Raw genomic sequence first — 24,959 nt, forward strand, 5'->3', positions numbered from 1 at the left:
TTTACAAAGAAGGTTTTAGATGCAAAACTTCAGTAGCTAAATTAATATTTCCTTTTTTCTAACTTAATCTATCGAGAAGAAAAGTAATAAATTTAAATCATGTGTGGTCTGTTGAGCTAGTTACTATGTTCTATCTATATAACTTAATGCCAGTCAAAATTTAAAAGGCATAGCTTTTCATCAAACATTCTTGTCTTAGTCTGTTTTCTGTTGCCTATAATAGAATATCTAAAACTGCATAATTTATAAAGAAAAGGAATTTATTTCATATGGTTATGGAGGCTAAAAAGCCCAAGGTCAAGGGACTGCATCTGGTGAGGACCCTCTAGCTGGTGGGGATTCTCTGCAAACTTCCTAGACAGCACAGAGCATCACAGGGTGAGGGGGCTGAGCATCCTAGCTTGGGTCTCTCTTCCTCTTCTTATGAAGCCACCAGTCCCACTCCCATGATAACCCATTAATCTATTGACCCATTAATCCATGATGGATTAGTCGATTCATGAGGGCAGAGCCTTTATGACCCATCACCTCTTAAAAGCCCCAAGACCCCACCTCTCAATACCGCCACATTGGAGATTAAATTTCAACATGAGTTTTGGAGGGGGCAAATATTCAAACCATACTCATTTGTAAGTAAAAAATCAACTGTTTTGTGATAAAGTTGCTCACCTTTCTTTCCCCTTTGGAAAATGCTCAAAGCATGGCTTACCCCATAAAATCAGCAGAATATCTTTACAGTCATCTATCCAGCCTCCCGGTGCCTTCAAGCTATTCTCCACTGCTTTTCTGTTTTATCCATGGGCCCCCAGCTATTTCATATTCCTCAGAGGGGTGGGAAAGAGCACAGAAGCTGAAGTTTTCACCTCTGAGACTTTGCTTTTAAACTGAAAAGATATCCATTGTCACACTGGGATTCATTTCTATCTGAAGCTTTGGAAACACATCACGACTTTTACCAAAGCCTATACAGTGAATCTAATTTATGTGTCACCTTTATTTCACCAATAGTTGCTTTAAAAATAAGGGAACACTCACCCCCTTTGAAAAGCTGGGTGGAAGGTTCAGTGTTGTATGGCTTATCTCGGAAGTCAGGGGTCAGTGACCAAAATTCACGGTGACCAGAAGCATTCCAAAATGCTGCCAGTAACTCCATGCTTACTGTTTCTTCCTCTTCTGCTCTACTGAACATTGTGGACATAGACACTCAGGATTGTTGGGGTGGATGATACTGGTTAAATGAGTCCTTCTTGGACACAGCTTTGGTTGAATGTGAGCACCAAACACTGAGAAGTCCTTGTCTATAACTGATGTGCAGAATGACCCATACGTTTTTTGGTTTGGGATTCTTTTTTTTTTTCTCTACTGTGTGTTATCCTTTTCTCTAATAGTGGCCAGTCACATTCTACCAGTCTGTATTTGTCTCACGGTTGTTGAAGTGGCTTTGCCAACTTAGCTAAGCTAGAAACATAGTTTCCTGGAATTGCCTTCCCAATGTGGTTCTGAGTTAGAGTGGACCAGGAGAAAAATTTGGGCAGGGCTTGGGAAGTGGGAGTGAAGCAATAGATACTATATTCTGAAGTTTGGTAGGACAGGCACTATTACCACTGCCATACACTGGCACTGATCAACTGGCACACCTCGTTGGTGTGGGGCAGCAACAGGACCTGCAGCAACTCCAACTCTGACAAGATCTCCTTCTTCAACTTCTCCAAGTCCTAAGTCAGGTTTGTGTGCACTTCCACGACTATGGATGCCAGCTCTTTCTTTAGGTTGGAGGCAATAAGAGACAGATGCAGGTTCCAGTAAGTCTTCATGGGATTTAGTTTGTCCTAGGGATTCAAGTTAATCCTTGCAGGTTCCAGTTTGTCCTTGCTTTCCCCCACACCACATACACCTCTTCTTCCCAACTGTGGGCCCTGAATATCTACAGTGACCTCAGGCTGCTATAAGTGCAGAGACAATAGCCTTCTATAGACTTCTTCCTCTGTGTAAGGTACATGGATGTTCCTTGGTCAAGGAATAGGCCAAGGTGGATATCCAGGCCTGCATGACTCAGTGAGTTTGGCATGCAGGCACACACCTCCACTTGTTATATAACCTGTTTGTGTAAGTTTATACTTCGCTCTAAGCCACTATTGTCTGTAAAAGGTATAACTGCCCTGCTAACGTTCTACAGGGGCTCTTGGGACTCTGGTTAGCTCCACATGGCTTAACATGGTGGGCACGCTGGTGCCCAGAGAAAGAAAGAGAGAGAGCCAAAGCTGTCCGTCTTGCAGATGGACAGGAGGGAGCCAGCACACAGCTTGGCTTGCTCATGCCCAGAGAGAAAAAGAGTTAAGCCGCTGACCCTGAAGGCAAGGAAGAGCCAGATGCACAGCTGTTTGTGGGAGCCACTGGCTCAAGCAGCTGCGACAGGGCAAACAGTGTGAGAGAGCTAGTGTGAGAAAGCTGTTAATAAAAGCTGCTGCTGAATAAAACCACATTCACCTGCCTTCAGCCCCGAGTGTTCTTTCTGCTCATCCACCAACTCCCTCTGGACTTCAGCATGGGCTGGACCCGGACCCCGGGACCTGACAACTGGTGATGAGAATGGGATGAGGTGAGTTGGCCCCAGTCCCTGAGGGCTCCCAGGTTGGCTTTGTGGCCACAGCATGGGCTGTGATACCCGGTGGCAGCTGTGCTGCGAAGATGGGCTCCAGTGGAAACATGGGAGGCAGTGGGTGGGTCTCCTGTGAGTATGGAGAAGGCACTGAAGCACCTGGAAGTGCACAGCACTGAGAAGAAGCATGCCTTTGCTGGCAGAGTCAGATGAGCGTTTGTAACTGTGCTGTGGGAAGTTCATGCCCAGTCCTTGTGGAACTCAGTGCAGTGAGGAGGAAGAACCTCCATGGCAGGCTTGCCCAGTGATCCACCACAAAATAGATCATGAGCAGCTACTGGGCCCCACGAGTAGGCCCAGAGACCCCCTGCTGTGGTGGAGCACCCTTCCTTTGGTGCCTGTGTCCCTGCTGAGTTGAGGGAGTTAAGCAAGTAATGTCGGCAGTCATGCACAGACTTAGTGCAAGCCATTTGGGAGAAGGACCTTGCTGCGCAACCCAGTCCTGCTCGAGCATTCCAGTTCAAAGAGTACCTGCTGCAGTTGGTGGAAGTGTAAAGCCTCTTCTGTTTGATAAGAGAACTGGCCGAGATGCCCAGCTTGGAGGGCACTGGACAACGGGAGCCACATTTGGACTTCGCAATCCACTGGTCCCTGAACCTGGATAAGTTTCCAGGCAGAGCTGCATTTATTGACAACTATGAAGACTGGTCAGTGAAAGTGAAACCTGTATCTCTGCATCTTGGCATCGACTGCTTGGCTCTCTGCTTATGTGCTGTGTATGTCTCTCCATCCATACCTGAAGACATTCTGGGGTAGATGTTTTGCATGGCTTGGCAGCTGTGCCATCTATCACAGACTTAATAGACCACTTGACAATGGAACTTGGCAGTGCCACTGTGTGGTGGACTTGGCTAATGCATTCTTGTCAATCGACAATGCTCCAGAGAGCCAGGAAGAGTTTGCCTTCATGGGACAGCGACAATGGACTTTCACAGTGTTGCTGCAGGGCTACTGTATAGCCCCACCATATGTTGTGGTTTTGTTAATAATGTTATGTTAACCTCTGATTCTCTTGCAGGTTTAAAAGTGGCAGTGTCCCTCTTGCCTGGGATTGGGGTGATGAGGCTGAGACAGCCTTTCTGGGTAGTAAACCAGGGTGCTCATTTACACTGAATGTGCATGTAACCACAGATAATTTTGGCTAGGGCCTATAGCAGTGCATGGAGCACTTGGAAGCACCAGTGGGCTGTTAGTCCCAACTGTGGAAGGGAGCTGAGCTCCAGTGCTTACTAATAGAGAAGCAGTTATTAATAGTGGGATGGGTGCATTCATGGGTAATGACCCCCTGGACAGAGGCAGCACAGACATCAACTTTAGCGAAGTGGGGTACCGACTTGAAACAGTGAAGTATGCTAAGTAAGTACAAATCCCTTAGCAGCAAAGTTGCAAGAGGTCTTGGGACCTGTAGTCCTAATGCAAGATAAGGCCATGGGGCCTGAGGCACTCCTAAACCCTGAGACTTCATCATTAGGAAGGGCATCCCCTCATTCCTGATAGGGCATGGCACACAGCTAGGTCTAGCTGGGGTGCTACTGCTGCCTGGACTGCTGGTGCGGTCCAGCCTAGTACTAACACCATATGGTTTGAAACCAGGTGTGGGCAAAGCAGCTAATAAGCTAAACTCAGGGCAGTGTGAATGGTAATCACCAAGGATGTGACAACCTATGGTAATCTGCGCCAATAGCTGGGCAGTTTATCAAAGCTTATGTATGTAACGGGCTAGAGTGCCCAAAAGCTTGTGTATGTATTGGGCCTGCATGCCCAAAGCTTGTGTGTCAGGCTTATGTGTCAAGCCTGTGTATATATCAGGCCTGCGTGCCCAAAGTTTATATGTCAGGCCTGTGTGCAAAACTTGAGTATCAAACCTGTGTGCCCAAGACCTAAGTCTCCCTCAGCCTAGGGGGTGGAGTGTAAGGTACATGGATGTGCTTTGGTCAAGGAATAAGCCGAGGTGGATATCCAGGCCTGCATGACTCAGTGAGTTTGGCATGCAGGTGCACACCTCTGCTTGTTATATAACCTGTTTGTGTAAGTTCACACTTGGCTCTATACTTGGTATAAAGGTATATTTGCCCTGCTAATGCTGTACAGGGCTGTTGGGGCTCAGCTCGGCTCAACATGGGTTAACATGGTAGTGGGTGCGCTGGTGCCCAGAGAAAGAGAGAGAGCCAAAACTGTCAGTCTTGCAGATGGACAAGAGGGAGCCAGGACACAGCTTGGCTTGCTCATGCCCAGAGAGAAAAAGAGTTAAGCTGCTGACCCTGAAGGCAAGGGAGAACTGGCTGCACAGCTGTGTGTGGGAGCCGCTGGCTCAAGCAGCCAAGACAGGGTGGCCAGTGTGAGAGAGCCAGTGTGAGAAAGCTGTTCATAAAAGCTGCTGCTGGCCGGGCGCAGTGGCTCACGCCTGTAATCTCAGCACTTTGGGAGGCCGAGGCCAGCGGATCACGAGGTCAGGAGATCGAGACCATCCCGGCTAACAAGGTGAAACCCCGTCTCTACTAAAAATACAGAAAATTAGCTGGGCGAGGTGGCATGCGCCTGTAGTCCCAGCTACTCGGGAGGCTGAGGCAGGAGAATGGTGTGAACCTGGGAGGCGGAGCTTGCAGTGAGCCGAGATCGCGCTACTGCACTCCAGCCTGGGAGACAGACCGAGACTCCGTCTCAAAAAAAAAAAATAAATAAATAAAATAAAATAAAAAAAAGCTGCTGCTGAATAAAACCATATTCACCTGCCTACAGCCCCCCGAATGTTCTTTCTGCTCATCCACCCACTCCCTCCGGACTTCAGCATGGGTTGGACCCGGACCCCAGGACCTGACACCCTGCTCCCACAATTGCATATGGTCTGATTCCTGTAATCATCCCTTATTGCTTTTCACTCTGCTTCTCTGATCAAACTCTGCAACTATGTTCAAGTGATTCTTATTTTACATCCAAATTTGCAAATCAGACACAGGATTATAGACATTACAAAAAAATTCAATTTTGAAAAAAAAAGGAAGAGATTTGTATATGACACTTAAGTAACCCATCTATTACCCTCGCTTTCTTTTTGATGTCAAACTTCTTTAAATGGCACCCTAAGTTTATTGCAAAAGTATTTTTCTTCCTCCCATTTTCTCTGCAGTTCCTTGAATATGACTCCTGCTTTTAAAATGCTATTTTAATTCATCAGAAACTTATAAAACATCAAATCCAGATCTTAGTCCACTTTATTTCTTTGTACTCTTAACACTGTTGACTACTCTCTTTTTTCCCTCATTAAATTTGGTTTCAATGGGTCTCAAATTTCTGTGACAGATTTTTGGTCAAGTTGTTTCCACTAAAAAGTGCTGATTTTAAAAATTAAATAACTTAAAACTACCAGATGCCAAAAAAAAAAAAGTTCACAAAACATTCTCCTTTCCTTCCAAAGGTTTTACAATGCATTGTTATCATTAACCAGTCTTTTACGACTAAACTTAAGTGGCCAGTTGAAACAAACAGTTCTGAGACCCTTCCACCACTGATTAAGACTCAGGCCAGGCACCGTGGCTCATGCCTGTACTCCCAACATTTTGGAAGGCTAAGGTGGGTAGATCACTTGAGCCCAGGAGTTTGAAACCAGCCTGGGCAATATAATGAGACCTAGCCAGGCATGGCGGCACATGTCTGTAGTTCCAGCTACTTGGGAGTCTAAGGCAGGAGGATTGCTTGAACCCAGGAGGCAGAGGTCGCAGTGAGCAGTGATTGTGCCACTACACTCCAGCCAGGGCAACAGAGTGAGAACCTGTCTCAAAACAAAAAACAAAAAACAAAAAACAAAAACACCAGACAACAACAACAACAACAAAAAAGACTGGGGTGGCATGTATTAGGGATAATATTCATTTAGCTTTCTGAGCTTTCTGGACAGACTTGGTGACCTTGCCAGCTCTAGCCGCCTTCTTGTCCTCTGAACCCATGGCAACTGTCTGTCTCAGCGAATTTGGCATGCAGGTGCACACCTCCACTTGTTATATAACCTATATAACCTGTTGTATAAGTTCATACTTGGTTCTATCCTTGGTATAAAGGTATATCTGCCCGCAAAATGTCCCAGAAGAGAATAGTCAGGATAGTCAGAATATTCAGAGAAGCTCTCAACACACATGGGCTTGTTAGGAACTATATCAGTCATGGCAGCACCACCAGATTTCAAGAATTTAGGGCCATGTTCTAGCTTCTTACCAGAATGGTCACCTTTTCTTTCTGCTCAGAACACTTGTAAGGAATTTGAGATGTGTGACAATCTAGTGCAGGGGCATAGCCAGCACTGATTTGGCCTAGATGGTTCAGGATAATCACCTGAGCAGTGAAGCCAGATGCTTCCATTGGTGGGTCATTTTTGCTGTCACCAGCAACATTGCCATGATGAACATCTTTGGCAGATGCGTTCTTTTTTTTTTTCTTAGAAAGAATGTAATGCATGTTTTTAATCAGAACAACAGCAATAACAAAAGCTAAGTATGGATATGCCAATGTAGTGTTGAATCCAGCAATGGACACAAATAAAGAGCAAATGCTTGACAGAGACAGCTGTAAATAATCTATGTACCTCTTACATCCCCCCACTTCATAAAAAAGACATTCTCTTTGGAAATATGGTTACAAATGTAAATCACTGATTTCTTGCAAGACCACGATGATTCTGTAATAAATATCAAATTGTTCCATTTCAGATTTGTAAAAGGATTCTTTCAGATATGAAGACTTGGGAGCAACTGTGAAGCTGTCTTTATTCAGATGCTTTGAAATATAAAGTGGTGATCTTAAACCACCAAGAACTGTAAGGCATGCTAACTGATGTTTATAACAACTTAGCCTTCTTTTCCTTTATATCCGATTTTATTAAGTGGGCAAACACCTTGTTCACATTGAGGCCCACATTGTCCCCAGGAAGAGATTCACTCAAAGCTTCATGGTGCATTTCAATAGACTTTACTTCAATTCTAACATTGACTGGAGCAAAGCTGACCACCATGCCAGGTTTGAGAACACCAGTCTCCGCTCGGCCCACAGGTACAGTACCAATACCAACAATCTTGTAGACATCCTGGAGACACAGACACAAGGGCTCATAAGTTGGATGAGTTAATGGTAGAATAAAGTCCAGAGCCTCAAGCAGCGTGGTTCCACTGGCATTGCTATCTTTATAGGTGACTTTCCATTCCTAGAACCAAGGCATGTTACCACTTGGCTCCAGCATGTTGTCACCATGCCAACCAGAAATTGGCACAAATGTTACTGTGTCAGGGTTGTAGCCAATTTTCTTAATGTAAGTGCTGATTTCCTTGTATCTCATCTGGTGGTAGGGTGACTAAGTGGAATCCATTTTGTTAACACCAACAAGTAGTTGTTTCACACCCAGTGTGTAAGCCAGAAGGGCATGCTCCTGGGTCTGCCCATTCTTGGAGATGCCAACTTCAAATTCACCAACACCAGGAGCAATGATCAAGAGAGCACAGTCAGCTTGAGATGTGCCTGTGCTCGTTTTTTTTTTGTTTGTTTGTTTTGTTTTTTTGAGGCGGGGTCATGCTCTGTCCCCCAGGCCAGAGTGCAGTGGTACAATCTTGGCTCACTGCAACCTCCACCTCCCGGGTTCCGGTGATTCTCCTGCCTCAACCTCCCGAGTAGCTGGGATTACAGACGCATGCCACCACGCCCAGCTAATTTTTGTATTTTCAGTAAAGATGGGGTTTCACCATGTTGGCCAGGCTGGTCTCGAACTCTTGACCTCAAGTGATCCGCCCGCCTCGGCCTCCCAAAGTGCTGGGATTACAGGCGTGAGCCACTGTGCTCGGCCTGTAATAGTGTTTTTGATGAGGACTCTGTATCCTGGGGCATCAATGATAATCATGTAGTACTTGCTGGTCTCAAATTTCCACAGGGAAATATCAGTGGTGATACCATTCAGCTTTCAGTTTATCCAAGACTCAGGCATACTTGAAGGAGCCCTTTCCTATCTCAGCAGCCTTCTTCTCAATTTTTCAGTGGTTCTTTTGTTGATGCCACTGCATTTGTAGATCAGATGGCCAGTAGTAGTGGACTTGCCTGAATCTACATGTCCAATGACGACAATATTGATATGAGTTTTTCCTTTCCCATTTTGGTTTTTAGGGGTGGTTTTCAAGACAACCTGTGTTGGCAGCAAACCTGTTGCAGAAAAGCTACTTTCTCTTTTCTGAATTTCTCTCTTCCCTTGGTTTCTATGACAAGCACTCTTTGGAATTTTCTCCTATCTCTCCAACTGCTGCTCCCTGTCTTAGTATGCTCACTTCTCTTCTACCCAATCGTCAAGGTGTAGGAGTTGGTTGCTCAAAGTCCAGTTCTTGGCACTCTTGAATTCTCACTCTACCCTCTCTACCTTTATGACCCCCTCCACTCTAAAGGATTCAACCACCATCCCTTCACACTCATGATTTATAGATCTATGCTTTTATCTCAGCTTTCTCTCCTGAATGCCAAGGTCATGATTCTTATAGTCCATTTAGTTGCAGATGACTCTCAAATTCAACAAGCACAAACTGACCTATTTATTTACCATGACATGTTCCATGTCCCCTAACTTGGATAATGGCATTACAATTCTTCAGTCACTCGTTCTCAAAACTTCAGAGTTGGGGAGTGATGTCACCAAAGATGGAGTAGAAGCAATCTGGATTCACTCCCCCTGCCCACTGAAAACCAAAAACAACTATCCGGTGCCACAATTATCACCAGCAATATCCCAGAACTCAAAATCAAAGCTGTGACAATCCCTGAGGCCACAGAGAAGTAAAAAACTATGAGCTGAAAGTGAGAGAAATGGACTTCTCTATCCACAATGCCCCTCCCCCAAACTACTAGACACCACATGGAAAAATCCTCCGAGACTCATGGTTTCTACATTGGAAAAAGTGAGATCAAGGTGGAAAGCCAGCTTCCCCATCATCTTGGGTTCCTATGCAAGAAAGCTGTTCCTGCCTCAACTCACAGGAAGCATCACAAGTGCCTCCACCTAAGGACAGGTGGAGACAAACCTTGGAGGTGGAGCTGCATGGCCCAGCACCAGAAACTCGGGGGGCTGCTCTCCACTCTAGAAAAAGGGGACACCAAATCAGAGAGGTGGTTTAGCAGCACCACACTGTAGGAGGCACCCTGCAGGGAACCTCTGGGCATGAACCCGTAGCCAGCCTCCCCACACAGCTGAGGAGTCCCCTTTGGAATCTCCCCCTGTCTGTAATGGGCAGCACTTGGAGAGCTACAGAAAACCTGTGTTTAGGGCGCCATCTAGTGCTCAAAGAAGGCAGCAATCTAGGGCTAAGGGAATCAACGGGCAAATCGCACAGAACCTCTAAACACACAAAACAACTCAGACAGGAAAGACTTGAAAAAATAACCAATTCTTTAATGCGAAGACATAGATCTACATACATAAGAAATAACAGCAAACAGTGAATAATGACCTCCCCAAATGGACAAAGCAAGGAACCACTGATCAACCCCAGTGAGAGAGCAACATGTGAGCTCTCAGATAGCAAAGTCACAGGAGTCAGATCAAGAATTCAAAATAGCAGTTTTGAAGATACTCAGCAATCTCCAAGTTAATACAGAAACGCAACTTAGAAATTTATCAGAGAAATTTAATGAAGAAATGGAAATAAGAAAAAATCAAACAGATACCTGGAACTGAGAAATACATTGGCTGAACTGAACAACTCATCACAGAGGTATCAACAGCAGAACTGATCAAGCAGAAGAAAGAAATAGTGAGCTCAAAGATAGTCTATTTGAAAATACACAGTCAGAGAAGAAAAAAAGAAAAAAGAAGGAAAAGGAATGAAGAATATCTACAAGAACTAGAAAATAACTTCAAAAGAGCAAATCTGAGTCATTGACCCTCAAGAGGAAATTGATAAAGAAAAGGGGGTCATTAGCTTATTCAAAGAAATAACAGAAAACTTTCCAAACCTAGAGAAAGATATAAATATCCAGATACAGGAAAGTCAAAGATTACCAAACAGATTAAACCCAAATAGGACTATACCAAAATATGTATTAAGCTCTCAGAGGTCAAGGACAAAGACAAGATTCTAAAAGCAGCAAGAGAAATAAAAGCAAATAACACACAAAGGACTTTGATTTGTCTGGCAACAGACTCTCAGCAGAAACGATACAGGACAGAAGAGAGTGAGACGACATATTCAAAGTGCTCAAGGCAAAAACTGAGAATAATATACCCAACAAAGCTATCCTTCAAACATGTAGGAGAGATAAAGACTTTCTAAGACAAACAAAAGGTGAATGAATTCATCATCACCAGACCTGTCTTGCAAGAAAATGCTAGAGAGAGTTCTTCAATCTGAAAGAAAAGGATACGAATGTGCAATAATAAAGTCATTTAGGCTACGCATAGAGGCCCACACCTGTAATCCTAGTGCTTTGGGGGGCACTAGGCACAGAAAGACAAACATCGTATTTTCTTACTTATTTGTGGGATCTAAAGATCAAAACAGTTGAACTCATGGACATAGTAGAAGGTTGATTACCAGAGGCTGGGAAGGGTAGTGGGGGATAGGTAGGGGAGTTGGGGATGATTAATGGGTACCAAAAAATAGTTAGAATGAATGACACCTACTATTTGATAGCACAACAGGGTGTCTATAGTCAATAATAATTTAATTGTACATTTTAAAATAACTAAAATAGTATAATTGGATTGTTTGTAATACAAAGAATGATCACTTGAGGGGGTGGATACCCCATTCTCCATGATGTGATTATTATACATTGCATGCCTGTATCCACACATCTCATGTACCCATAAATATATATACCTACTATATACCCACAAGAATTAAAAATAAAATTTTTTTAAAAAGTAGAAAGACTTCAAATAAATAACCCAATGATGCACCTCCAGGAACTAGAAAAGCAAGAACAAATCAAACCCTAAATTAGTAGAAAGAATGTAACAAGGCTGGGTGTGGTGACACCTGTAATCACAGCACTTTGGGAGACTGAGGCAGGATGATTGCCCGACACCCACCTGGGCAACAAAGTGAGACTGTGTCTACAAAAAAAGTTTGAAAATTAGCCAGGAATGATGGCATGTGCCTATAGTCCCAGCTACTTAGGCAGCTGAGGCAGGAGGAATGTTTAAGCCCAGGTGGTTGAGGCTGCAGTGAGCCATGATCGCACCACTGCACTCCAGCCTGGGGAGCAGAGCAAGATTCTGTCAGAAAGAAAAAGAAAAGAAAAGAGAAAAAGAAAATAATAAAGATCAGCACAGACATAAATGAAATCGAGATTATAAAAAAATACAAAAGATCAATGAAACAAGTAGTTTTCCAAAGAGATAAACAAGCAAAACTGACAAATCTTTAGGTAGACCAAGAAAAAAGAGAGAAGACCCAAAGAAATAAAATCTGAAATGAAAAGGAGACATTAAAACTAATACCACAGAAATATCACAGAAATATAAAGGATCATGAGAGACCATTATGACCAACTATATACCAACAAACTGGAAAACCTATAAGAAATGGTTAAATTCTTGGACACATACAAACTATAAGAAATAGAAAGCCTAAACAGATCAGTAACAAGTAATGAGATCAAAGCAGTAATAAAAAGTCTCTGATCAAAGAAAAGCCCAGGAGCAGATGGCTTCCACAATGAATTCTACCAAACATTTTAAGAATATAAACTCTATTCAAATTATTCCCCAAAAAATTGAACAGTAGGGAATACTTCCAAGTTCATTGTATGTGGCCAGCATTACCCTGACAGGAAAACAAGACAAAAGATACAACAACAATAACAACAACAACAACAACAAAACTACAGGCCAATATTCCTGATGAACATAGATGTAAAAATTCCCAATAAAATACTAGCAAACCAAGTTCAACATCACATTAAAAAGATCATTCACCATGATCAAGTGGGATTTGCCACAAGGATGTAAAATGGTTCACCATACACAAATCAATAAATGTGTTATATCACATTAACAAAACTAAGGACATTTTTGTCCATGATGATTTCAATAGATGCTGAAAAAAGCATTCAGTAAAATTCAGTATCTTTTCATGACAAAAACTCAACAAACTGGGTATAGAAGGAACATATCTCAAAACCATAAAGGCCATATATGACAAACCCACAGCTAACATCATGCTGAATGGGGAAAAATTGGTAGTCTTTCTGGGGAAAAATTGGCAGTCTTTCCTCTAAGAAATGAAAGAAGATAAGGATGACCAATTTTACTATTTTTATTAAACATAGTCCTGAAAGTCCTAGCCAAAGTAATTGGGCAAGAGAAAGACCTAAAGGGCATCCAATTTGGAAAGAATGAAATTAAATTATCCTTGTTCATTGATGACATGATCTTATATCTAGAAAAACCTAAAGACTCTACCAAAAAATTATTAGAACTGATAATCAAATTCAGTAAAGTTGCAAGATACATAATCAACATACAAAAATCAGTAGCATTTGTATATGCTAACAGCAAACAATTGGAAAAATAAATCAAAAAAGCAATCCCATTTATAATTGCTACAAAAAAATACCTAGGAATAAATTTAACCACAGAAGTGAAAGATCTCTTACAAAGAAAACTATGAAACACTGATGAAATAAATTGAAGAGGATACAAAAAAATAGATATCTCATGCTTATGGATTGGAAGAATTAATACTGTTAAAATATCCATACTATCCAAAGTGATCTACAGTGGTCTCTTCACTCTATTGATTGTTTCCCTTGCTACCCATACAATATGATACAAAATGATCTACAGATTGCAATCCCTATCAAAGTGCCAACAACATTCTTGATGGAAATAGAAAAAACAATCCTAAAATTCATATGAAACCACAAAAGACCCCAAATAGCCACAGCAATCCTGAGAAAAAAAGAACAAAGCTGGAGGCATCATACTACCTGACTTCAAAATATGCTATAAAGCCATAGTAACCCCAAACAGCATAGTACTGGCATAAACGCAGGCACATAGACCAATGGAACAGAATAAAGAACACAGAAATAAATCCACACATTTACAGCCAACTCATTTTTGACAAAGATGCCAAGAACATATATTGGGAAAGAACAGTTTCTTCAATAAATGATGCTGGGGAAACTGGATAACCATATGCAGAAGAATAAAACTAGACCCCTGACTCTCACTATATACAAAAATCAAATCAAAATGGATTAAAGAAAGCCAGGCATGGTGGTGTGTGCCTGTAGTCCCACTACTTGAGAGGCTGAGGCAGAAGGACTGATTGCTTGAGCCCAGAAGTTCAAGTCCAGCCTGGGCAACATGATGAGACCCCCTATCTCTTAAATAAAGACTTAAATGTAAGACCTGAAACTATAAAACTACTGGAAGAAAATGCTGAGGAAATGCTTCAAGACATTGGTCTTGGCAGAGATATTTTGTGTAAGACCTCTAAAGCACAGGCAACAAAAGCAAAAATAGACAAATGGCATTACATCCAGGTAAAAAGCTTCTGCACAGCAAGGGAAACAATCAATAGAGTGAAGAGACAACCTATGGAATGAGAGAAAATATTTTCAAACCATATATTAAATAAAGGGTGAATATGCAAAATAGAAAAGGAACTCAAATAACTCAACAGCAAAAAATAATAATCTGATTAAAAATGGGCAAGTGATCTAAATAGACATTTCTTTTTCTTTTAGATTTGCCGTTAACAATGAATATATATTTCTTAAAAGAAGACATACAAGTAGCCAACAGATATATGAAAAATGCTCAACATCACTAATCAGGGAAATGCAAATCAAAACCACAATGAGATATCATCTCACCCCAATTTAAATGGCTATTATATTCAACCTGAGAAAACTGATAAAAATGGCTATTATAAGACAAAAATAACAATTGCTGGTAAGGACGCAGAGAAAGGAGAACTCTCATACACTGCAGATGGAAATTTAAATTAGTACAGCCATTAATGAAAATAGTATGAAGTTTCCTCAAAAAAACAAAAAAACTACCATATGATCCAACAATCCCACTGTTGTGTATATATTCACAAGAAAGGAAATCAATATATTGAAGAGATATCTGTACTCTCATATTTATTGCAGCACTATGCATAATAGCCAAGATATGGATTCAACCTAAGTGTCCAGCAAGAAATGAATAAAGAAAATGTGGTATATATACCACAGTGAAATATTATTCAGCCATAAAAATGAAATAAATACTTTCATTTGCAGAAACATGGATAGAACTGAAGGGCATTGTGTTATGTGAAATAAACCAGGCACAGAAAGACAAATATTGCATGTTCTCACTCATATATGAAAACGAACAAACAAACAAAAAAAGGACCTCATGGAGGTATAGAATAAAATAGTGATTACCAGAGGCTGTGAAGGGTAGAGGGAGGGAGGATGAAGAGAAGTTGGTTAATGGGTACAAAACTACAGTTAGAAGCAAAAAGTTCTAGTGTTTGATAGCACAGTAGAGTGACTATAGTTAACAATAATTTATTGTATATCTCAAAATAGCTACAAGAGAAGATTTGGAATGTTTTCAACACAAGTAAATAATAAATATTTGAGGTGATGGATACCCCAATGACCCTTATTTGATCATTATACATTGTATACATGTATCAAAATATATGTACCCCCAGAAATATATGTACAACCATTATATATTAATTAAAAACTTGAGTTATTCAATACTTTTCCCTCTAATCAGACTCCTAACTTTAGCTTCCACCTCTTTTTCTACCCCCTAAAGCTTGTGTTTCCTTCCCAAAACATGAATTGGCTTATGTAAATTCTTTGTTCAAAATATCTCCTGGTTCCCAGTGGCATATAGAATACATATCTGCCAGTTTTGTACAGCATAGCCACATTTTGATTTCTTCCCTTTCAACTGTATGTCCTACTATACTCCAATGTCCCTTTCATCACACACACAGTCTGTGGATCTCCCTCAGCACTCCCCCATCTTCTGGATATATCTGGATGCTCCTGGCCCAGGGGCTTGGCTCAGACCTTTTCTGTTTGAGTTATGTACTATATTGAATGCCTAACCATACTCCCTATCCAGTTTCAGTTTTCACTCCTAGCTGATGACTTGGATAAGAGTCTCTTGAGTTAGAAATAGTTTTTATCAATAACATGGGAGTAACAATGCATATAATAGCAATAGCTCACATGAATCAAGCTCTTAATTACTGTGCCAGGCACTGTTAATGACAAAAATGATAAATGTCCTCCAGGATAAAGGGACCTAAGAGACAGTTTGATCAAATGTCCTTACACCCTCAAAGAGGGTTTCCTGATATAACAGGTCCAGCCTCTGTCTACTTGCCCTTTTCTATTCCAACTTGTCAGGAGAAGAGGGGCCATACCCTGTTAAGTCCAGTGAGTAGAATCACTTCATTCATCAAGGCGGGACGTGGCTTGTTTATGCATGAGGTAGTTATTCCACTCTGGTTTAATTTCTTTTAAAATGGGGATGATGACAATTGTGGTTGTTGTACAGATAAAAACTCATGTACAGTGTCAAGCATAGGACCCATGGTTAAGAGCTATTAATATTCAGAATATTAACACATCACAGGGTACCTGTAAAACACTTCTTAAAGAACTACAGTGCCTTCAACCTAGCCTGGCTCTTATTTATTTGACACTTCAGTGGGGAACAAGAATTCAATTTTGGCCAGGTGTGGTGGCTCACGCCTGTAATCCTAGCACTTTGGGAGGCCGAGGCAGGTGGATCACTTGAGGTCAAGATTCAAGACCAGCCTGGCCAACAAGGCAAAACCACGTCTCTACTAAAAATATAAAAATTAGCTGGGCATGGTGGTGCACATCTGTAGTCCCAGCTATTCAGGAGGCTTAGGCACAAGAATTGCTCTAGCCCAGGAAGTGAAGGCTGCAGTGAGCTGAGATCGTGCCACTGCACTCCAGCCAAGGTGACAGAATGAGACCCTGTCTCAAAAAAAAAAAAAAAAGAATTCATTTCAGGAAGATAGTTCTGAGAGGCGAAAGAAGAGGAGAAGCAGGGAGGAGTGGGAGGATGAGGTAGCAGCAGTACCCACAGTGATGCAGGAGCTCCTGGATGGGAACCTGGAGGGCAGTGGTGTTTTTATTGCCTCTTCCATGATTAGAAAATAAGTTTTGAACTTTGGGGGCTTTAAGGAGTGGAAATGAGAAAAGTAAATACAGAGGCTGTTAGCCCTTCTTAAGGGAGAATACTACTGTCTTCTGTGTATCTTCATGTTGGGACTCAGTCTGAGCTGGAAGTATTCAAATTAATGCACTGAGGAGCTGGATTATACAAAAATTAGCTGGGCATGGTGGCATGCACCTGTAATCCCAGCTACTTGGGAGGCTAAGGCAGGAGAATTGCTTGAACATGGGAGTCAGAGGTTATAGTGAGCTGAGATCACGCCACTGCACTCCAGCATGGGCGACAGAGCAAGACTCCGTCTCTAAATAAATAAATAAATAGGGCCAGGAGCGGTGGCTCATGCCTGTAATCCCAGCACTTTGGGAGGCCGAGCAGGCGGATCACGAGGTCAGGAGATAGAGACCATCCTGGCTAACACGGTGAAACCCTGTCTCTACTAAAAATACAAAATAATTAGCTGGGCGTGGTGACAAGCACCTATAGTCCCAGCTACTCGGGAGTTCTGAGGCAGGAGAATGGCGTGAACCTGGGAGGCAGAGCTTGCAGTGAGCGGAGATCGCGACACTGCACTCCAGCCTGGGCGACAGAGCAAGACTCCCTCTCAAAAATAAATAAATAAATAAATAGGGTTCAATTGTACTTAACTATTTGAAGTATTTAAAACCAAGCATAACCTCTGAGCTAAAATGAGTGATTTTGTAAATATTTAGGCAGTGGTGTGAGGAAGTAATTCACCCCCAAAACACACTAATGTACATTTAGTTATAATGAGACTGAAGCAGGGAGATGAAGGCCAAGTCCTTCTGCTGTTGTTCTTAAGCCTTTGGTAAAGCAACATAGGGAGTGGCATCTTTAGATTTGTCTAAAAAAAACAAAGAACAGTTACAAATAAAATTCCATGCACATGTATCCCAGAACTTAAAGTAATATATATATATGGCAAAAAACCACAAAAACAAATAAAATTCCAGACAGAAAGACGATGCAAATATTAGAGAATTATACACAAAGTATGCCTTGCAGCTGCCACACAAACTCAACATTATGAAACTATCAAATGCACAAATGAACACTCTCTTGAGGAATTTCTAATATCAAAGGAATTGTTTTCTTCCCTTTTGGTGGTACAATTATGAAGAGGTGGGTTTTGCAGAATTTGTTTAGTGGTGGTAGGGTGGCTGTCAATTCAGGGTTGATTCAAACCTCTGTTAATTTGAAATACTCTTCCATTTTCTCCAGTAGTGAAGACTTATTTGTAGGTCATGAGATCAAAAGGTGACTACCTGAGACCGTGGAAAACCTAAAGTTGTGTCAAAGAACTATTGCCAGGGAAAAAACATCAAGATGAGTTTATTGTTAGTTTTGCTGCAGAGAGAGAGAGAGAGAGTGTGTGTGTGCATGCAGTAATGGAAACATGTGCAGATCTGATGGTGGGTTGTCCAAAACAAGCAGCCCCTGAGTGCTGTCATCCTAACACCATAGGTAGGGCTCACAGTCAGTCTTGGCTGACTCCCACAGTCAGGTTGGGAGGATGAAAGAAACCTCCACTATCTCAGGAGGCATGGAAAGCTCAGAGGAAACGAAAGACAAGGTTTGATGAGCTGCTTTTCTGGTTTTCATAGTGGTCTCTTAATAGAATTCTGAAAAGGAAAAGGAGCCACAAGAAAAAAGAGAAAGAAAATGTTCTCATCTATTTCCAAATTCTAAGGCATGACCTTCCCCCAAGAAACTCTTGGTAGATGTTTTCTCCCTTTCTCTTATTTGCAAATATAATAGAACTGTTTTATGTAATCAGTACTGGGAATAGGGAACTAATATTGGCCCATAAAACAGCCTACTTTGGGGATCGGCTATTTAGGGAGATTTGATAATAGATTTGAACATGCCCAAAATGAGCTCTATTACACTAGCCTTCTTTAGACTATATTCATGCAGAGAAAGGATCCTAAATCCTAAAATAGGAGAGTGAAAGTGAGGAGTCAGACAGGGAGAAAAGGCCTGTAGTGTCACAATTTGCAGATTGGGAACTTCCAAAAGGATTAAATACAATGTTAACTCCATTAACTAGGATGCTGAGTAGACGTAAAGCCCACCTGACATGGTTGTTTTGTTCTGTTTTTTAGTAGCTGCCAGGCATTTAAGAAAAAGCCTTTTCTGTGACCCCCCACACCCACATTGATGTTGACCTTGCATTAAAATGACTAGTTCTGTTATGGGATCTTTGGAGTGTCAATTTTCTGGCCAGAAACCTCTGTGGCTGGTGACATCTTTGCCCTAGTTCTTGTCCTGTGTCCAGGAAGAATGAGGTATGCGACAAGTGAAGAGTGAACAAGACAAAGAGGCGCCTGAGTTCTTGTCCTGCATCCAGGAAGAATGAGGTATGCGAACAAGTGAAGGGTGGACAAGGAGGAAGAGGAGCTTTATTAAGTGTTAGAACAGCTCAGAGGAGAACCACAGTGAGTAGCTCCTCTCTGTAAGCAGGTAATCCCATCTCTCCATCCTCTGCCCTGCTCTGGCTGAGCCCAGAACTTCTAGGGACCTCAGAGGGGAGGAAGTGTGTGCTGATTGTTCCATGGGCAGCCATGGGTGGGCCCAGAAAAGGCACCACAGGTCCTCACTCCAGTCGTCAGGACTGGCCGCCTGGCCTGAAGGTGGGGTCTTACTGAGGACCTGCCCTCTTCCACCCAGGAGCCTGTCTGCCTCCCACAGCAGTCCATGGCGCCCAGGCTGCTTGCACCGAGGGGCACTTGCAGGCCAGTGCTGAGCTGCCCTCAGCCCCCCTTAGCTTCCTCTCTCATGTTCGTGGGCACTCAAATTCTGGAGGGGGCCAAGGCAGCAGGGCACTGGCATGTCAGCACTGCCCTGAGCCTACACACATCCTCCGGGCTGTGACAGCACCTCCGGCTCGGCCCCAACTCCTCTCTGAGATGAGATCAGAGCAGGTGCCTGAGGGAAAAGAGAACAGGCAGTGGGAGCAGACACACCTGAGCCTGTGGTGGTGGGGCTTCCTGGCCCCCAAGGATGCAGGCTGCAGAGATGCCCGTGTCCTGCACCTGGGAGGGTAGCTACAGATGCACCTGAGGAGCTCCTGCCCCACCAACTTGGAAGGGGTGGGGCTCCCACTTGTCCCTGGCTCCTGCCCGCTCTGTGGAGCCAGAGGCCTGGGTCTGCAGCCACGGATTGGGCAGTTATAGTTGCACTCAGGAGGACAGGGATCCTGCCTGCTCCTGGCTCCCTCGAAGAGCACAGGGAGGCTCAGATCTGCAGCCCAGTAGGGTCGGGGCTCCTGCCTGATCCATGGAGCTGGAGGCCCAGGTCTATAGCTGCAGTTTAGGCGACTGCAGTGGCACCCGGGAAGCTCCCTCCCCAACCTGGAAGGGGTGGGGCTCCCACCAGCTCCATGGAATGTGCAGCCCCAGCCATGCCTCCCTGCTGCAGCCAGCATGATTGCAGCAGCCGCTGCCATCAGTTCTACTTTCCTGCCTTAGAAATTGGTGATGGTATAGCAGGAATTTTAAGGAATCAGAGAGACTGATGGGGTTCAGGGGGATATTTATTAATTATTTAGGTGCACCAGCCCAGTTGGATTAACATCCAAAGGACTGAGCCCCGAACAAAGAGTTAAGTTACCTTTTAAGCATTTCATGGGGTCGGGGGAGATCTGTGCAGGGGGAAGCGAGAAACAAAGGCAGTTATTCAATTGAGACATGCATTACTTCATTTCTTACTTTTTAAGGAAAAACATGTTTTGTGAATTGAGTTTATCTGTCTAGTGACCTTGCAGCTGCACAGCTAGGGAATCAGAGTCTTCACAATGCCTGGGAAGGGAGGAGAGATAAGGCTCACTAGCCACAGAAAAATAGGCAGTTAGTTTTTAAAGGACTCTAGCTCTTTCTCTTTCTCAGAGGGAATTGGGTTTTCTTACGTACAACTGAATTTCTGCTTACATACTCTTTAATTTCTTTTAATTCCTGTTCCAATGGGAATGAGATCTCCTAGTTTTGGACTGGGGCTAGCAGGGCCTCGGGTGCACCACCACTTGGCAACATCAGCCTCTGTCCAGAATCCTGAACCTGTAAGCTAGAACAGGGTTAGCTGACAGTGTCCTGAACCCAAGAAGGTTGGGAGGGTGGGGTTGGATTGGAGTATGCAGGATTGACAATGGTATACCTCTTCTCCAAACTACTGGCTGGGCAGAAATCTTGAGTTCTAATGAATCTGAACCTAGTTAGGCTAACCTTTCCTTAGCACCTTTCCTTAGCAGTAAAGGCTAAAATATCAAGTCAGTATCCAGGGCTTCAGCAACTCTTGTGTCCCAGTAAGACAAGCCACAAATACCTTTGGCCCCATTATCAGGCCTCCATTGCCATAAAATCTTTTTAACTCTCAAGAGGTTACAGAGAATGAATTACTCCTTAATCATACTTGAAGCAAACCTTCTGTCTAAAAATCCAACGTAGCCAGGCATAGTGACTGGAGCCTGTGATCCCAGACACTTAGGAGGCTGAGGTGAAAGAATTGCTTGAGACCAGGAGTTTGACACCAGCCTGAGCAACATAGTGACTCCCATCTCTAAATAAATAAATAGACAGATAGGTAAGTAAATACATAGACAAATTGATAGAATGATAGATAGATAAGTGAGTAATAAATAGATTAGGTAGAGATAGATAGCCAGCTAGGTAACTAGCCAACCAGCTGTCTCAAAAAAAAAAATGGCTGGCTGTGGTGGTTTATGTCTCTAATCCCAGCACTTTGGGAGGCTGAGGCAAGAGGCTCTCTTGAGTCCAGGAGTTCAAGACGTTTGGGCAGCATAGTGACACCCTGTCTCTAAAAAAAATTAAAAATTAGCTGTGTGTGGTGGTGTGCACCTGTAGTTCCAGCTACCCTGGAGGCTGAGGTAGGAGATCAAGGCTGCAGTGAGCCATGACTGTACCACTGCACTGCAGCCTGGACGACAGAGCAAGATCCTGTGTCAAGAAAAAAAAAAAAAGAAACGGTTTTTTCCCTCTACTTTCTCACAGTTAATACAATACTCAGCACAAAACACTTTTGACATCAGATTCTCCAGTGAACACCAACTGGGTGTCTTATGATTTAATTCAATTCTGACACTATCTACCTGGAGATAGTGTCAGATCCTATGGGTTAACGGCTCAGTCCCATGAGATTGTGGCCCCCATTTCAGATGCCAGTCACAAGCACTAGATTGTCACTTATACTTCTGACTCCCTGGGTATAAATTGCAGGGTCCTACAACCCCCTCCTCAGGTTCAATTAATTTGTTAGAGTGGCTCACAAGACTCAGAAACACTTACTTACATTTACTAGTTTATTATAAAGGATACAGAATAACAGCAAAATGGAAAAGATGCATAGGGCAAGCTATCAGGAGGAGGGTGCAGAGCTTCTATACTCTCTCTAGGTGTATAACCTTCCAGGCACCTCTGTGTGTTCAGCAATCTGGAAGCTCATCAAATCTCATTGTTCAAGAGTTTTTATAGTTCTGGTGTTCTATGGCACAGTAGGGTGACTATAGTAAACAACAAGGTGTTGTAGATCTCAAAATAGCTAGAAGAGAGGATTTATATGTTCCTATCACAAAGAAATAATACATGTTTGAGGTGTTGGATATGCTAATTACTCTGATCATTTGATCATTACACAATGTATACATGTATCAAAACAAAATCACATTAGGCTGCGTGCAGTGGCTCATACCTGTAGTCCTGACACTTTGTGAGACCAAGGCAGGAGGATCGCTTGAGGCCAGGAGTTTGAGACAAGCCTAGGCATCATAGTGATACCCCATCTCTACAAAAAAATTTTAAAAATTAGTTGGGCATGGTGGTGTGTACCTGTAGTCCTAACTACTTAGAAGGCTGGGGCAGGAGAATCCCTTGAGCTCAGGAGTCCAAGGCTGCTGTGAGTTATAATCAAGCGACTATACTCCAGTGAGGGCAACAGAGTGGAGACCCTATCTCCCAAACACACACACACACACACACACACACACACACACACACACACACACCACATTATACCCCATAAATGTGTACAAAATCATGTCAATGAAAAATACTTCATTTTTATGTTTTATTATTAATATTTTTAGAGACAGGGTATCACTCTGTGACCCAGGCTTCAGTGCAGTGACCTGATCATAGTTCACTGCAGCTGTGAACTCCTGGGGTCAAGCAATCCTCCCACCTCAGCCTCCTGAGTAGCTAGGACTACGGGTATGCACCATCATGCATGGATAATTAAAAAAAATTTTTTTTGTAGAGATGGGGTCTTGCTAGGTTGACCAGGCTGAACTTGAAATCCTGCCCTCAAGCAATACTTCTACCTTAGCCTCCCAAAGTGCTGGAATTACAGGCATGAGCCACTATGCCTAGAAAAAAAATTTATTAAAAAGAGTTTTTATAGAACTCATCCCTTAGCCCTGTTTTCCCGCCTTTCCTGGATGTTGGTGGGTGAGGCTGAAAGTTCCAACTTGCCAATCCTCTAATCCTCTATTACCTGTTTTTTCAGGTGACTGGCCCTATCCTGGGCTACCTGGGAGTCACACTCTGAGTTATATCATTAGCATAAACTCAGATGTAATCCAAAGGGACACATTATAAATAAGAAGATAATACTATTTCTCAGGAAATTTCAAGGGTTTTAGGAGCTCTGTGACGGGAACCAGGGACAAAGACCTAATATATTTCTTATAATATCATAGGACTATTTCCCTCAATATGACTTTAAAAAGGTTCAGTTTTTATGATGCTCAGCTTCCCCCATGACCAGGGTGACACTATTTGTAGTAAAGAGGGACAGAACAGCTGACAGCTGATAGTCAGTTGTCAGGACACTAATATTTCTTTATTCTGTTACCAAGCATAGCATTAACAGAAAGGACACAGTGCAATTCATTAGCTAGGTTTGCATCCAAGACTTGGACGAAAATGAAAGAGTATTAAAAGCGGGTAGAAACTTTGAAAGGAAAATAAATCTCGGAACCCCCAAATCACTAAGCCAAAGGGAAAAATCAAGCTGGAAACTGTATCGGACAAACCTGCCTCTCATTCTATTCCTAAATAAGATAGTTACAAAGATTTGTTTAAAAGCTACATACCCCTGTCACAATTTGCCCATAAGGAAAATCCTCATGGACAAAGGACAGACAGAACTCAAAGTCATCCCTCTGCTGCTGTGCAACAAATGCATATCTGATTGCTTCCTTTGCCCTATTGTTTCACTAAGCCAGACTAAGGCATAAGTGACTATTCCCGTAAATTGTGTATTCAGTGAAAGGCTAATCAGAAACTCAAAAGAATGCAACCATTTGTCTCTTATTTACCTATGACCTGGATGCCCCCTCCCTGCTTCGAGTTGTCCCACCTTTCTGGACCAAACCAATGTATATCTTACATATATTAATCGATGTCTCATATCTCCCTAAAACGTATAAAACCAAGCTGTATCCCAACCACTTTGACCACATGTTGTCAGGACATACCGAGGCTGTGTCACAGGCGCATCCTTAACCTTGGTGGAAGGAACATGGCTGCACTGAAGCCAGGCAGACATAGGCTGAGGTAAACATCCTGCATGACTCAACAAGTTTGGTGTACAGGCACATAAATCCACGTGTTATATAATCACAGACATGTAGCCATAACATGGGAAGGCTCATCACTCAGCTCAGAGCCACTATTGTCTGTAAAAGGTACAACTACCCTGTTAATGCTGTACAGGTGTGCCCAGAGAAAGAGAGAGCCAGAGCTGTCTGTCTTGCAGATGGACAGCGGGAAGCCAGGACACAGTTTGGCTTGCTTGCACCCAGAGGGAAAGAGTTAAGCTGCTGACCCTGAAGGGAGAGCTGGCCGTGTGGCTGCGCGTGGGAGCAGGTACAGCAGTTAGCCAAGACAGAGACAGACAGTGTAAGAGAGCTGCTGAATAAAACCATCTTTCACCTGCCTACAACCCACCCCCTCCCCTGCCCTGAGTGTTCTTTCAGCTATCTGCCACCCATCCACCCACTCCCTTCTGACCTCAGCATAGGCTGGAACCTGACCCTGGACCTGACACTTGGCAAAATAAATTTTCTAAATTGAT

General features: G+C 42.9%; 1 pseudogene, besides 1 other annotated feature; it reads right to left on the reverse strand.

Moving 5' to 3' along the window:
• Positions 6,494 to 8,847, reverse strand: EEF1A1P30 (eukaryotic translation elongation factor 1 alpha 1 pseudogene 30; annotated as a pseudogene).
• Positions 20,507 to 20,801: a silencer, noted in NCBI's record as "tiled region #12959; K562 Repressive DNase matched - State 8:EnhW". NCBI's record gives its function as "represses a minimal TATA promoter and a strong SV40 promoter by Sharpr-MPRA in K562 cells {active_cell/tissue: K562}" and the evidence as "EXISTENCE:reporter gene assay evidence [ECO:0000049][PMID:27701403]".

The sequence above is a fragment of the Homo sapiens genome, chromosome X (assembly GCF_000001405.40).
Source record: "Homo sapiens chromosome X, GRCh38.p14 Primary Assembly".
Taxonomy (NCBI): domain Eukaryota; kingdom Metazoa; phylum Chordata; class Mammalia; order Primates; family Hominidae; genus Homo; species Homo sapiens.